Source organism: Homo sapiens, chromosome 5, assembly GCF_000001405.40.
Source record: "Homo sapiens chromosome 5, GRCh38.p14 Primary Assembly".
Lineage (NCBI taxonomy): Eukaryota > Metazoa > Chordata > Mammalia > Primates > Hominidae > Homo > Homo sapiens.
In genome coordinates, this window is record NC_000005.10 from 14184041 (window position 1) to 14200911 (window position 16871).

Sequence of the window (16871 nt, forward strand, 5' to 3'; positions counted from 1 at the left end):
ACTGTTGATGGACCTTGACCTCAGAGCTCCTAGGCCAGATGAGCAGCCATGACAGAGAATGTTGTGTGTTTGGATGGTTGGGTGCCATGTCTGTTAAAAATCCAACCGGCTAGTAACGAAACGCCTTGCAGAAATCATCCTGTGGGGATTTAGAAATGTTTTTTTAAAAGAGATTTGCTCCTCAGCTTAGCAACAGCAGTTCTGTTTTGAGAGCCGAAGGGAGCACTGTGCGCTGTTTGTGTATCCGCTCAGCAAAATCACAGTGGGAAGCTGCTGCAGTGATGTGTCCCAAGGCTGCAAGGCCACCTTGTCCCATGGCCTCTGTACAGCCATGGGATCACAGCTTCCCTTCTGCAACGTGCCCTGCACTCTACTAAAGGCACTTGGCAATGTTATTGAGACTTTGAACATATGTTTTTAGAAAATAATACTGAGCAAACTATAAAGCTTCAGTGGACTGGAAAAGTGTTTGCATTTTCTTTATATTAGCCTCTAGTGTAATTCAGGACTTCATTGCTATGGACGAGTCTAATTTCCCTTGCTAATTGTTTATGTTTTCATATGAACACCACATATTCTTAGAGGAAAGAGCGCATCTCAGCATCTTTTAAATGCTCCTGATACAAAGTCTTAATGTAAAACACTTGTTCTAGTATGTTTCTTTCCAGTACATAGCCTATGTAGTTAGTTCTTGGTGTTTCAGAAAAAAAATGAAGTTAGGTTAGTGGGTGTGAGCGTGGACGCCTCTTGGGTCCAGTGCGGTTGCGGGGTTGGTGCCCTACAGCCACTGCTGTGCTTCCCTCCTGGCGTCTGTACTCTAATCTAATGCACGAGGGCAGTCCTACTGCTCATTAATCACGTTTAGTGTTCTCACTCCTAACCCAAAATCGGGCTCCTCCTTGGAGCAGCATACTTGGTGCCAGGCTTGGGTGGACGTCACCAATACCTCCTTATTCGGGTCCATCTCAGTCGTCCATGACTCATGGACAGTTTTAGGATTTCCCTAAAACTTATGTGGACTGCCACATCTCAAAGGCATTTTAGTTATTTTCAGTGATTTTCAATCCTGAACATCTGGGCCTTTCCACTTCCCCCATAAAATTCGCCCCCCTTCCCCGCCCCCCACCACCATTCTCTCTCTCCTTTCCTTCTTGTTTCTTCTAAAGGCTAATAGTGGGTGTTCTCACCCTTGAAACCAGAACAGTGAAAGTTCTGGAGGATTACAGAAGCACTTGGTCCTATTTTCTTTCACCCAAATTGAATCCTGAAAACTCCTGATGCAGACTGAATGGTGAATACTTAAAAACATGAATAGCACAGTTCTTCCTGGGCCTAACTGGGGTGGGCACCCTTTGCATAGCTGTGATGAAAAACGTGCCCAGCATAGTTGTTAAACATGGCAGCCACAGCACGTCTGCTGGCTCTGAGCAGGCTCCCAGGCCCAGACTGGCCACACACGCACTGGAGCTGGCTGGATCCCTTGCCACCTGCCCCTGCCTGCACTTAGGCAGAGATGGCTCCTGGCTGAAGAGCAGGGAGAAACTGGGGCAGCTCTTCTCAGGCCAAATGCCTAGGAAAGGGTGGGGAGGGGCTGAAGGATGAGTGAAAATGATTGGGAGAAGACAGAGGGAAAAAAGGCTAAGTTGCTAGGAACGTGGTGGGTGAGTGACATTCAGACTTGGCTTGCCCCTCTTACAGACGGGTTGATTTCTCTCATTTGTAAAGTGAAATGGACAAATGTGAGTCCTTGGTGACTCACTGGAGCTTCTCAGATCTTACCCAGGGATAGTCTAGTTATGGGTGGTGGACATGGGGTGGGGTGAGGAGTGTGGAGTTTTTCATCTTCCAATTGGAGAAGACTGTTTTGCAATTTTGAGTACCTCCGCCAGTGAAGAACTGTGCAAAAGGCCGATTCCTAGTTGTGCCCTAGTAAATGTTTTCAGAATATTTTCCTAGGCAGCTGGGGACCAGAGTGTTTTGAATAGCTTGTTAAACAGACTTTTAAGAGGTACACCCAATTAGCACTACTGAGTAGTATTTAGATGTTGACTAGATTCATGGGACTATGCTGGAAAATAAATTGTAAACTCAAGTGTGACATTTTAAACCAGCTTTTGGTCCTTAAAACCACTTTGCCTGAGCTGGAGACAGCCAGTTTCTCCCTTGTTTTTCTAGCCTGATCACCAGGCTTTTGAGCTCTAGGCTGGCCTTCCCAACTCTCAAACATATTCCTTTTATAGAAATAAAAGTACCTGGCCTCTATGATGCATAACTGTGAGTCATCCAGTGGATATTAAAGAACTCCAAAAACATGCTTCAAGATAGTTTTTCCACTTTGTTCCAGAGCACGGTCTAAATTTGGACTCATTGGAAATGGAAGTGAAAGGCCCCGATGGAACCTTTCTGGTTGCTGCCTTCTTTGAGTTGCTGTGGTGGGTGGGCAGGGACAGACAGCCTTACCTGCACAGAGGCATGGGGTTTCTTGCATTCATTTCTGAATGAGTCGGCCTGTCGTTTGCACATTAGTGACCAATTTCCTTCTTTCTTTTTTTTTTGAGGTGTAGTCTCACTGTGTTGCCCAGGCTGGAGTGCAGTGGTGCAGTCTTGGCTCACTGCAGCCTCTGCCCCCCTGGTTCAAGCGATTCTCTTGCCTCAGCCTCCTAAGTAGTTGGGATTATAGGTGCATGCCACCACACCTGGCTGATTTTTGTATTTTTAGTAGAGATGAGGTTTCACCATGTTGGCCAGGCTGGTCTCGTACTCCTGACTTAAGGTGATCCACCTGTCTCGGCCTCCCAAAATGCTGGGATAAAAGGCATGAGCCACCACGCCTGGCTAGTGATCAATTTCTAATGATTGAGACTCTTGGGCACAATGCCACATGATTTTGTCATGCTAGTGTGAACCAATATCCTGTTCCCATGGTGGATAACGTTATATTAATGTTTAGTAATATTTGTGCAAATTAGATAGGGCGTGAGGGCTTGGTAATACCAAGATATGTAAATGTGGAGAAGTCGTGTGATGAAGAAGTTACTTGTCCAAGGCAGCCTAAAGCGATGAACCAGAACCTGATGCTAGTATTTTAGGGAATGTCGGTTCTGGTCTCTCTTACGTGTCTAATTATAGTGTCAACTGCAAAAAGTTGATAAGTACTAAAATGTATTATACTTTTTCCCCACTCCACTGTTTCAAAATGTAGTATATAGCATTAACAAGGACTACAGATCTAATGCCCAGCCAACAGTTAATGGGAGATAAGGATTTTTACGGAAAAGCAGAAGTTGCTAGATGGTTTTTGTTGTTTTGTTTTGTGTTTTTGATGGCTGGGACTCTTAAGGTACAGAGAGAATTGCCAGTCTTTCTGTATTACCGAGAAATTGTAAACATCTGTGTTGTGGGCTTTATTTTTATTCCCTGCAGTCCTTAACATGACATCTCCCCCATAATTGACTCTCAGTCAGTACCTTTGACTCTGTTTTTGAAAACCATTGTACCGAGGAGTGGGTCTAACAGCCACAGGCCATCCTATTTAATCTAAGTAAGTTCTATTTCTTCTGTTTGTAGATTTTTGAACTCAAGAGCAAAAGCGAATATTTCTAACAAGATTTGACATGTGCATTTTTAAGTAGATGCCACATAAAAGTCCAATTAAGTAAAAGGTGATATGAATGTTTATTTTATGTGAAGTACTTTTAAGTGATTATTGTTATTTAGGTGTTGCGTTCTGTGGAGTTTCCTCATTATTAAAGTAATGTATTTGTTTACAAAACAATGACAAAATGAGACTTATGGGAGGGGAGGAAGGAATTATTAACATAATAGGAGAAAGGGCTTTCTTATGGGGATAAATGTGTTTTGTCACTGAAGTTTTTATTTGTTCTGTCACCGAGCCAATCTTTATTGCGTGAGAAGCAGACCCTGCTGTATTAAATGTGCTGATGGGAAACCCGGATGTCTTTGCTTTTCTCCTTGCCAGCCGAGGAGTTAGACTAGAACACCTTCAAGATGAGCTGTAACTTTTGAATAGTGAACACAGATTTTATAATATCTGCTGGTGTTTTATTTGTCACATCTGCCAGTTTACCTAAAATTAAAATTTTGAAAACCATTTTTTGTGGAAAGGACAAATCATGTACTTGTTGGAGTTCTGGGCTGAATATTTTGTGATGTGGTTTTCAAGTGATCTTAGAATAATTATGATGCCAGCTAACTGTCCTTGAGTGCCAATGCTGCCATGTATTGTTCTCATTGCCTGTATTATTTAATAAGTGTAATATTTTCTCCATTTTACAGATGAGGAAACTGAGGTACAGAGAGATTGGTTAAGTAGCCCAAAGTACAGAGTTAGTTAAGGGATGGGGTGGTTTGAACCTAGTTCTTGGCCCATTCTCTTAACCACTTCGCTATAACTGTTGTTAACTAAATCATATAGTAGACATGAGTATAATTTAACACAATTTGTCTTTTATATGACTGATGAAATTAGCCCCGTGGGTTTATTTTCAATGCCTTATACATACTAAAGTTATGCAAAGTGTTTCTATTTTTGAATGATTTTTCTTTCCTTATTTTCATTGTTTTCCCCTGCACTGTTGCTGATAACCTTACAAATAAAGATTGTAAAAGACCAGGAGAAAGATAAGCATGCCAATCATAAGTTTTGGTTCTGTACAGTTTTCCTCTTTGACCCATTGATGCTTTTCAGCTTTCCCACTATAATTCTTCATTAATTTCCAGGTTTGTCCCGCGCATTGAATTCCATGGTTTTTAGTGTAGTTTCTTGCCTTTTAGCCTGGGAACTTTTGGGTGGGGAGAATATGGTGATGTAGTTCAAGTCGAAATACTAGCATATGAATACTTTCAGAAGCCCATACACTTGTGTGCACATTAACTATGTTTTTAGCAGTTGAGCTTTGGTTCATTGTAGTGAAAATGTTTTTCCATGAGTAATTCTTAAATGTTGGTCTTGAGTTTTTACCACAGATGTTACAGGTTTGGCCATGGCTCTCTCTTGAAAAACTCATACAAATTGCCAGTTTGGTATAAGCGTTAAGGAATCACATTGCTTTTTAATTGTATTTATTTCTATTTTTAATATTTGAGCTTTAAAATATTGTAGTAGTATTGTAAAAATGTATCTATATGTTATCCTACACTAAGCCTAAGCTTTAATGAGGATATTGGTACCTGACTGTCCTGTACTTGGAGCATCTGTCCACTTTTGAATACATGTAACACTTTGATGCTCCTGTCCCCATGGTTTGATGAAGTACTTAATACCTTGAATGCTATATTTATTATCAAATTTTGAATGAAATCACTAGCCTAAATACAAGTGAGATGTTTTTGAAATTTTCATCACCTTTGAAACACCTAGTATTTCTGTAGAATTGGATTGAGGAGGGCGGAAAGAAGGGTTAATCCCCCCAAATACAAATAACAGCAGTTCCTTTTTATCATAAAGTAAATGTGTGGCCTGGGAGAATGTGTTGGATAATTCTCATCTTAGGTTGTACATATATGACCAAGGCACTGGATAAATTCACACGTGAGTGTCGTTTATTTTCATGCACTTAGAAACGTATTTAGTACTGTTTCTGCCAGTCTAAGCCTTAAAAAGGTCTGTAGCTCATTTGGGATTGCTGAGAGCTGAGGAGCTGCTGTTCTGAATGTCTTCGTTTTAACTTTTTTTTTTTTTTCAAGATGGGGTGAGGTCTTGCTGTGTTGCCCAGGCTGGAGTGCAGTGGCCTGATCGTAACTTACTGCAGCCTTTGCATCCTGGGCTCAACCTGTCTCAGCCTCCCCAGGAGCTGGAACTATAGGCGCATCCCACCATGCCCAGCTAATTTTTTATTTTTTGTAGAGATGGGGTCTTGCTGTGTTGTCCAGGCAGGTCTCAAACTCCTGGGCTCAAGCACTCCTCCCACCTGGCCTTCCCAAAGTGCTGGGATTACAGGTGTGAGCTACCATGCCCGGCATATCTTCAGATCATTCATATCTGGCACAGACAGTTGACCTTTTTTTAGTCAACAGAGCTGGTTTGCACAGGAGATTGTAAGTGGGTCTATAGAGATGGAAAGTTACAGGTTCCATCTAGTAGAGGCTACTAGTTTTTGAATAGAGGGAGAGAAATCTATTCCAAAGGAATTGCTTCCTCAATCCCCACTGGCCACTGCTTGTGCGGTGCCAGGCAAGAGGGTGGACTACAGGGGCAGGCAGTCCAGCTAGCGGCACAGCCATTCAGTGAGTCAGGAGTCTTTGTGCAAGGAAGGCTGAGGTGATGACAGAGCTAACAGCAAACTCAGACAATCTGAAAAAGAAAAGAAAAAATCCAGAAAAATCAACCACATATGCAGATACTGAAAACTATTTTTGGTGAACCCCTTTGTGCATAAGAGATCATTTACAAAATATGTGTGTGCGAGATAAGTCTATTCCTGTAAAGAAATCTGAGTCAGTCTGAGGAGAGTGCAGAAATCTGAGTCAGTCTGAGGAGAGTGCATTTGGTGCCGTGGAAGCGTCATGCTTGTGGCCGTTCCTGCCCTGTTTAAATGATTCAGGCTCATGAAATGTCTGTATAAAGAATGCTTTAAGTTGTCTTCTCCGACTGCCCCTTATTCACTTAAAGACAGACTCATATGACTGGGGCAGTGACTTGTAGAGCTTCTGGTCCTTTGCAAATACCATGCTGTCCTGTCTTAAAAGAGCTGACTAAATTAAAAAAAAATCCACCTCAAAAAGAAGTGAATGGCTGTTATGATCACCTCAGAAGTATCTCAGGACAAATATACACACACACCCCTTCATCTGACACCTGTGGCTTTTAAAAAGAAAGCCAGATAACGGATAGCCATTTAATCAGTTTGTATCCACACAAGCACTTCTCCGATTTCCCTCATGCATTAGGTAATGACACTCTCCCCTGAGATTGATATGTATATTATAATTAATAACTAGCGCAGCGTGTTCTCCAAAGGGGCAGCTGCAGGAGGAATACCACAGCCTCTGCTGTGACCCGCAGACCTCAGTGGGAGGGACATGGGACATGGTGGCTCGCACTGTGTTGACCAGCAGCCCCTGTTCATTGCATGGCTGGGTCTGGTTCCTACCTAGTGGGTCAAGGCTGATATATTAAAGTTCTGATGTTTTGTCTCAAAAAGACCAATATGACCTAGTTGGAGTACGTATATATAAATGTGTATGTGTATGTAGCATTCTATATTCACAAGCCTTTAAGTGATTTTTCTAGGAATTAATAAGAAGTAAAGGCCAGGCACAGTGGCTGCACTTGTAATCCTAGTGCTTTGGGAGGCTGAGGCAGGAGGATTGCTTGGGGTCAGGAGTTTAAGACCAGCCTGGGTAGCATAGCTAGACTCTATCGCTACAAAAAAATGAAAATATTTAGCTGGCCGTGGTGGCACATGCCTTTAGTCCCAGTTACGTCACTCCATACACTCCAGCCTGGGTGACAGAGTAAGACCCTGTTTCTTTAAAAAAAAAAAAAAAAAAAAGTGGTAGTAGTAGTACATCTTCTATTCCTGTTTTTAGAATGGGCACAGCAAACTGTCCACTTATTTTCATCATTAACATATGGAATGTAATTTATGATATTTTCTTAGAGAAGATTAAAATCATAGGTAAAGTGAATAGGGAAGTTAATTCTGATACTGAAGTTGACAGTAATCAGAACTTAGAGAAGTAAGCCACAGCCAGTCAGGAAAATCGCAGACTGGAAAAGATAATTATTAGTAAAGACTTCTTGTGGTTCTTAATAAATTGTCTTCCTGAACCTAGTGGCTCTGCTCCTTCACCATAAAACTCTGATTTTGTTGATTAACCTTTTTGTATTCAATAACAACTCTAAATGGCTCATTTATTGTTTAATGTTTTCTATTTTTCTTTTTTATACCAGACAAATTAGGAGATGTTGGCATATCAAAGATGTGAAGAAAAATAAAAGGAATTCAGAAAGAATCATGTATCTAATATCCAGGAGATAATGTAGTTGCATTGATTGTGTTGTAAAGAAGAATATATCTAGCATTAGTAATGGCAATGGCAATAATGATGACAATAATACAGATTGCATTGAGCCATATATACATTATCTCATTCCAGTATAAAAGAAGTGCCCCCAGCAACTTCTTGGACGCCAAGGAGGTTTCCAAATTATTTATTTTACAAACTCTTACTTTATTCCCTTTTTTTTCCTTCTTCTTTTTTTTTTTCCCCCAAGAACAGAGTCTTGCTCTGTCGCCCAGGGTGGGATGCAGAGGTGTAATCTTGGCCCACTGCAACTTCTACCTCCTGGGCTTAAGTGATCCTCCCACCTCAGCCTCCTGAGTAGCTGGGACTACAGGTGTATGTCCACCTGTAGTGGATGCACGCCCAGGTAATTCTTTAAATTTTTTGTAGAGACAAGGTCTCACTATATTGCCCAGGTTGGTCTCGAGTCCCTGGGCTCAAGTGATCCTCCCGCTTCGGCCTCTCACCATATTTTTAAGAATGAGAGGGAATGCTATTAATAATATCAGTATTCTGGGATAACAGGTGCCTATAAGGCAGTTGATAAAAAGAATATAATGGGACCCTACTTACTCCCTAAACAAATGTCTTTGAACATTTACAGGTCAAGAATACAAGAGAGGAAGGTCTGCTTAATAAGTGGAGTACATTAACTCACTGACTTACTCTGGGTTGCTATTGTATTAAAATTCTGTATAGACATTACGTAGCCTCAGAGTTGAATTTGGACTGCCCTTAAAATAAAAAATTCTTAAATCTTTAGTGTGGTGTCTGTTAATTTTTATGATGATTTACAAGTTGGAAATGATTACTTTGCAAGTCATAGTTTACTTTGAAGTTAATAAGAGTGATTACAGTAAAGGAAAAATGCCATATATGGCATTGTTCTTAACAGCTTATGAAATTTGGAAAACGATATTTTAGAAAGCTTTCTCTTGTTGGCTGGAATGAAGTGGAGACCCTGCTGGGAAGAAACTCAGATATGTTGATAATTACTGTAATTATGAGAGTTCAGATTTGGAAGATTGTCTGAAAATCTGTGTTGCCATGCAGTTTCTGGTAGTAACAGTTTTGAATTAATATTTATTGTGTGATGCAGTTATTAAAATATGTGTAGTAGAGTAATACTGAAGCAATATATCGTGACACAAAAGGATATTCACTATAAATAAGTAAATCAGGCAATTAAAAAGCAGTATTATTATTTGTATTCATTTTTTGTTTTAGGAAAAACGTACCTGTGGGCACACATATACAGATAAAATACTGCAAGGATATTTTACTAAATTTAAATGCTTATTTGAGGATTAGTGGAATTTAATTTTATCTCCTTGTAACTAATAAATTGACCATATTTTCTGTTTAGTTTTACTTTAAAAATATGAAAACATAAACATTAACCTGTTTCCTTTTATTGAAGTGCTGGTGTGTATTCTAAAGCTGGCTAGTTTTTTATGTTCAAAATAGTGTTTTCAAGTAATGGAATCATTCCGTCATCTCATTCTTAGGGTCAAAAACAAGGGGTAAGTCACTATATATCCTCTAGAAAATGTTTTGTAACCAGTTAGGCAGCCATGTGGTTGGCAAATGTTCAAACAGTTCATGTCCATTTTTGTTTTTTAGGTCTCTGCAAAGTCAGCTGTCAGAGAGTATCTCATTGAACACTTCCTTTGATTATTTCCAGATACATTTATGTGACTAATTTACGCGAAACTGGAGAATAAGACCTCACATACATTCTTATAGCCTCCAAAAATATTACACATGATGGCAATGATGATGAGGATGCTGACCTTACTGTAGATAACAGTGACCGTTTACTGTGTGTTCGTGTGCCTGGTACAGACTCTGCCCTGAAGTCCTTACCTGCTCCTTTCACTAGACTCAGTAGTCTGTCTTATCTTCCCGGTAGTTTTTCAGTATTCTCAGCAAGGAAGCTCATCCCATCAGCAGTTGTCGTGGCCTGTCCAAACCCTCCATGCAGTGAGTCTTCTTCAGGTTCGGGGACATAGACATAGCTTCTGTCCACTCAAATGTTGAATATCCCTGCATTGTCAAATTGTACCCATTACTCGGTACCTGTCTACCTATAGAAGTTCCTTTAAAAAAAGAGCTGTCTTTTTACTACTTCCTGGCATGTAGTTTTATACATTGATCGGATTCATATTATTTTGTCTTACAACTTGATGTCTAAATATGTAAGCAGGTGGGAGTAGATTGTTTTCTTTTGTATTTCTGCTCTCTTTTTCTCTGTAAAGTTTTTAAATGGAAATAAAGTACATAAGGCTCGTATTATGTGATCTCTTGTTGGCAGTATAAAAGGTTTTATAATAATTGTTTTCTTTCTTTATTGTTATACAGGTGCTCCATTAGGTGAAGAGGTGGAGAAGGGTGAAGGATTTGAGGACTTGATTTGTTTTTAAGTTAAATGTTAGGTTGCTGGATATCTCTAGATATCTAGCTAGTAACTTAGCTTTTGAAATTCAGTGAAATCCATGTTTCAAGGGTGGGATGTTATTCCAGGAATTCTGCTGAAATAAACAGTATACAGAGGCATATCTCTGAATATTTAGTCATTGCCAGTGGCAAAGTTGGTAATGCTGCTTTGTGGTATGTTTAATAGAGGAATAGTGTATAGCCTTTGTAGATAATGATTTAAGTCTGTATTTATTTTTACAGAAAGGTAACCACATACACACATATATGCATACGTCTTTTAATTTTGAAACAATTTCAGACTTAAAAATGGTTACAAAAATTACACAAAGATTTCTATATACCTTTTACCCAGATATCTTACATGTTAATATTTTGCCGTTTGTTATACCACTTATACCCTTCTTTCTGTATTTGCACATGTATCACCTAGATAAACTTTTTTTTTCTGAAACATTTATAATTAAGGCAGACATAATACTTCTTTTACCTTTAAATATTTCAGTGTATTTTTTTTTTTAAACCAAGGACATTCTCTTCTGGAAGTAAAATGATGAAAATTGGGAATACCACATTCATTCAATGCTGTTATCTAATTTACAGACTTTATTCAGATCTTGCCAGGTGCCCATTAATGTTCTCTATTTCGTGCAGTATCCATTCCAGGAGCACACGTTGCATTTAATTGCAGCCCTCTTTAGTCTTTTTTAGTCTGGAAGAGCTATTCAGTCTGTCAATCAGGACCTTCACAGTTTTGAAGAATACAATCTAGTTAATTCTAGCAAGTTTGCTGAACGACCCTTGATTTGGATTTGTGTGGTATTTCCTTGTGATGTGGGTGGGAATACTACTGAAGGGTGGTATTGTGCTCTCTGTGCATTTTGTCAGGCAAGGTGTTGATATGCCTGTCCTATGGGTGATGACATAAACTTTGGTCACATAGTTAAGATGGTGTCCGCCAACTCCATTGTCAAATTGATAACTTTTTTCTTTGTAATGAAGTGTCTTGAGATTCTCTGTGAAAGTATGTAAATATCTTATTCCTCATCACACTTTTACCCATTAATTTTGTACTCATTCATGATTTTTGCCTGAACCAGTTGCTAGTGTGGTGTTCGTCAAATGGTAATTTTTAAATTCTTCCGCTTATTCCACTTTTGTAGTTTAAGTCCTACTGTAAGGAAGAGCTTTCCCTTCTCATTGACTTAATTGTTCAGAACAGGCTCATGGGTCCTTATTTGATTCTGCTGATTGTGATCTGTTATTATCATGATTGACTGGATTGCTCCGATTGTTCCAGGCTGGCCAGCGGGGACAGTTCAGGCTGTGCCTGGTCCTGTCTTTTTCCAAGCCCTTGCTTATTTTTTTTGTCTGTTCTCTTTCAGTGTGGGGGTGGGGAGAGGCGCAGTTGTGGATTGTTTTACTAGATTTTATCCAGCTTTTTCTCCATATCTGTATTTGTATAAATTTTAAAAACTGAGCATTATTTAAATGTTTATGATGGTTGCCTTTGGGTTGTGGGATTACTGGTTATTCTAATTTGTTTTTCTGGAAAAAAATCAGCCATCTAGCACATGTATTATTTATATCAAGGAAGAAAGGCTTTTTAAAAACATTGCAAAGATTTGTTGTGAGGCTAGGCATGGTGGCTCATGTCTGTAATTCCAGAACTTTGGGAGGCTGAGACGGGGTGGATCACCTGAGATCAGGAGTGTGAGACCGGCCTGGCCAACATGGTGAAAACCCCCTCTCTACTAAAAATACAAAAATTAGCTGGGCGTGGTGGCGTGCTCCTGTAATCCCAGCTACTCGGGAGGCTGAGGCAGGAGAATCGCTTGAATCCAGGAGGTGGAGATTGCAGTGAGCTGAGATCACACCACTGCACTCCAGCCTGGGCAACAGAGCCAGACTCCGTCTCAAAAAAAAAAAAAAAAAAAGGATTTGCTGTGAGTGGTGGAAATCACGTACCTCTAAGACTGACTGAGACTATCTTGTGTTTTGCACCTGTCATTTGAGAGCATTCATGTTTTCCAGCACACATCATATGTGAAATGGAGCACTGTCACTAAATACTGATCCCATGACTTGAAATCATTATTCTACCTTCAGAAGCTGGGAAGTCATTACATTATAACCTGTGCTCTCCCCGTTTCTTAAGACAGATGAGGCACCTGGTGCCTGCGAAGTTAGGTTACTTGCCCAAAGTCACAGAGTTAATTGAGCAGATAGATGTTCTGGCTCTGAGTCCAGTGTTCTTAGAAAATTCTTAATAATGTTTTGTTTGTTAACTGCCTTCTAATGACCAGATACTGAATGAAGTTTTAAAGATCCTTTAGCTTAAATTTGCATATGCCATTCGATGAGTCATGTTCCAAAATTTTATATCCGAAAATTATCAAAGGCCATTTGGCCATGCTGGATGATTAACAACTTCAGGTGAGTCTAAATTGATTTCTTGGTAGACCATAGCTGTGGAGTGCTGTGATTACTGCCTGGTGTTCAATGCGTAATTACACTGTTATTCTATACTTGTAAAAAACATCGTTGGATTGGAAGAATGGAGGCCTGATAAATTTGTGCTGTTTAAACTTGTGAACTTTCTCTGGAATCAAGACATGCCTGCCAGAAGAAAAAAATCTACTTGGGCACGACTAAGTGCTATCTGTAGATTGCCAAGGAAGCTTTCCCCGCCCCTGTGACTTGCTGTGAGTCCCCTGGGCTGTCCTCCCCTCTGAGCACCAGATACTGATTTGTTGTGCCTGCTGTGGTGGTAATTACATAAAGTGTGTATCGAGGTGCTTCCTGTCTGTCTTATCCCCAGCTCCGTCCTCAGCCCCAGTCGCAGAGCCTTTCTCACAGCAGGAGTGCAGGAAAAATGAGAATGCTCTTTACCCTGTCCAGGCTATCTTGTGGAGATGGGTCTTCTCTTGATCTGTATCCCTCTCTTTTCTTGTCTTCTTCTTATTTTTAAATACTCTGATTTTTAAAGCAGTCATATCATTAGTCAGGGCTTTTGGTTGCAAGCAGTCAGAACTGTCTCTAGCCAATTATAAGCATCTCATATGGCAACAGTAGTAGTTATTTGCCAAGAACTATGAAGGGTCTGAGCTTCTTTACTCTATTTGCAAGCTAGGTTAACCTGCCTTAGTTTGCTAGCAAAAGACATGAGACTCCTGGGTCAGACAGAGGACTTTATTATTCACAGTGGTAACAGTAGTCATGATATCAGCATTTGTTTTTTGCACCAGTTCTTCAAGCCCTGATTCTCACAGAGCGACTTGCAGAAGGCCAGTTGTGCACACACAGTGGGTTGCATTGCAGGAAAGGAACCCTGAATATAAGGTACCCGAATCTCTTATACTGGACTGCAAGCATGCCTGCTTTTTGTTCTTAAGGGAGATGCTGTCTCTGTCTTCCAAGTCTGTAAGCATACCTGCCCTTTGCTCTGGAGGAAGACACTATTCTCTAAGTCTATTCACTATAAAAATATCCTTGTAATGATAGTCCAGAACAAAGATAGTCATTGCCTCTGCTTAAATCATGTACAGAATTGCAAGAGACCCACGGAGAATTATCTACCAACAATATGCATCATAGAAATTTAGAAAACAGAAGAAAAGTCACTACAGTCCTACCACTCTTACTGTTAAGGTTTTTGAAATATATAGAGTTTTAGCCATAAATATAAATGATTTCATATAGCATGTATTTTATAAAAATTGGTTTATACTGTACATTCTATCTTGTGATGTGATGTTTTTCACCTGCCACTGTATCATGCCCATTTCCCTCTCTCTGCTGTCTGTATTCTTCTTGATGTGGTGAAGCATCTTTGCCCAATCTTCTGTTCCCTTGTGCCCTGCTCTCTGCCTAACATTTAATTGTACTAAGTATACAATCAGAGTTTTAGAGGTTGAAGAGCAGAGATTTCAGATCATCTGGTCCAACCTTTTCATTTAACATGTGTGTTAACTTTCTCATTTAACATAATTACATTTCACTGAGACCTTCTGGAACCAACAAGAAAACCTTAATATGGAACTGCAATGATGGGAATTTGGGGCATTGAAAGAAGTTGGGTTGGCAACATTGCTTGGGTGATTTCCTTGCTAACATTGTACTGTAAGGTGTGAGGGCCTTTGCATTAGACTCTGACTGGGCTCTGTAAACCTGAGCCTCATTCTTAGAACCTCTTGAGCCCCTTGATGTTGCCCAGTCAAGTCCATAGTGACTGTAGGGGCTGAACTTCAAGGGCCACTTTTGCTTATAGCCATCACCTGAGAGCACCTCCAGAATCAAAATGGCCTTGGGAAGTACTTGCCCCAGAGAGAGTTTTAAAAATTATTCTGTCAATCTGACTCAATTCCTTGTAGATAGTTCATTTCCAGGCATGTATTTTCTTGGAGTTTGTTAAAAACAATGGAAAAATCTTATCTTAAAAGTACCTCTTGGGCCGGGTGCGGTGGCTCACGTCTATAATCCCAGCACTTTGGAAGGCTGAGGTGGGCAAATCACCTGAGGTCAGGAGTGTAAGACCAGTCTGACCAACGTGGTGAAACCCTGTCTCTACAAAAATACAAAAATTAACCAGGCATGATGGCAGGTGCCTGTAATCCCAGCTACTTGGGAGGCTGAGATGGGAGAATTGTTTGAACCTGCTGCATTCCAGCCTGGGCAACAGAGTGGGACTCAAAAAAAAAAAAAAAAAAAAAAAACCTCCCTAAAAATGCAACTCAAAGTGTTAAGTATTCATATTTCTAGATTCCATTAAAGGCAGTTGTGAGGTATTTATATTAATGGAATTTGCCTTGCTTAAAAAAATTCAGGACCATGAGGTTTTGGATTATTAATGCAGAACTGCTAAATAATTTTTTGAATGGTAGCTTTCTTTCAAAAGCCACAAAGCTGTGTTATCTTGCTTTCAAGAAAATATTCTTTGTTGAATGACTTAAGCTTATTAGTTCTTGGAAAATTTTAAGGATGTGCTGCCTTCAAACAGTAAAACAAGTTCCAGCTTTTTGTACTAAGAAGAAACTGTTGTCACTAAGGATCAGCTCTGCTCCTGGTATCAGTGGGCTTATGGAGAGGATGGCAGAGAAGCTTCTTGGGCCTGTGGCATTCTGCATCCTAATGACCATCTCCTTTTTCTGTTCCCTGCCCCTCTCCTCTTTCTTTCCCCCTCCCCTTTTATCCTAAAGTAGGGGATTTATAGGATGATGGCATTTACTACCAAAGCTTTGCTGGCCTTGAAGCAAGCCTAATTTCCAGGTGGCATCTTGAGATTTGTCTTGTCCTGGGTCTGACCATTGCCAGACCATGGTTTCTTCAGTTGGAAGTAAGGCTGTACCTATTCCAAGACAGGGAGTTGGGGAGGAGAGGTCAGGGCCAGGTCTGTTAGAATGAGCCGAGACAGACTTAAAAGAGAGAACATAGACAGCATTCTCTATGTGGAGTGTTCAAGGCCAACGGTTATGATTAGGAGGCCTGGCTGAAGTAGCGTCAGCTGGTTTTCTAGTGACTATACTAGGGTTGTGAGATCTTAGTGTCCTGGCAACTAGACAGTGGTTCATACTTGGGCTTCTGCCCTGCAAGAGAGTGAGAGAACCAGCCAGGACAGCAGTGTCCTCTGGGTGCCAGGCATTATGTACTAGGGGCTTGGCTTACTGTGCCATTCAGCCAGGTGGCCGTGCCCTGCCCCTCCCCTCCCTGCCATCCATTATATGCCTCCATCCTTCTCAGGGCCCTTCCCTTCCCCGTGAATCCCCAGCCTGAGGTCGTGCTTAAGTGCCACCTGCTCAAGAGAGAAGGCTTCCTGCCCGCGCCCATGATGTAAGTCCCCCCAGATGCTTTCCACCATCCTGTCCTTTGTCTGTAATTGCGCTTGTCGCTTGAACAGAATCCTAATTGTGCTGATTACATGTTTAATTTTGGTCTCCCCTGTAAGACAGGCATGCTTTTTGGAGGCAGGGACTGAATGTCATTCACATCTGTGCTCCTAGGGTCTAATACATGATGGTGCATTGTAAGTATTCAGTATATAACTTGTTGAATAAATGGATCGGGTTTAGCATTTTCCCCCATTGGACCTGGATTGACCTGGAAATTGGTGGACTGAACCTGCAAGTAGAGATTAAAGGACCTAACAACTGTAGAGTGGCTGGTGAAGGTAGATATAAGTGCAGTAAGGGAGGGAGTCATTGATGTTGTTTTGGTTCGTAGTGCAGAATAAAGCTACTTATGGAAATATACGACTCCTACTCTTAGTTTCTGCTTTGATGTGGTTACTGCTGTTGTTTAGCGTAAGCATATAAACAAATCACTGGCTTAGTGGGTTAATTTTTCTTCTCTTTTGTTAAACAGCTGAGTTTTTGCTGTTTTCAAAGTTAGCCAAAAATTCCATTTTCATG

General features: G+C 40.5%; 1 protein-coding gene across 9 annotated transcripts in view; it reads left to right on the forward strand.

Annotated features, from left to right (window-relative positions):
* Positions 1–16871, forward strand: part of TRIO (trio Rho guanine nucleotide exchange factor) — a 366863-nt gene that overhangs the window by 40699 nt on the left and 309293 nt on the right. The window lies entirely within an intron of this gene.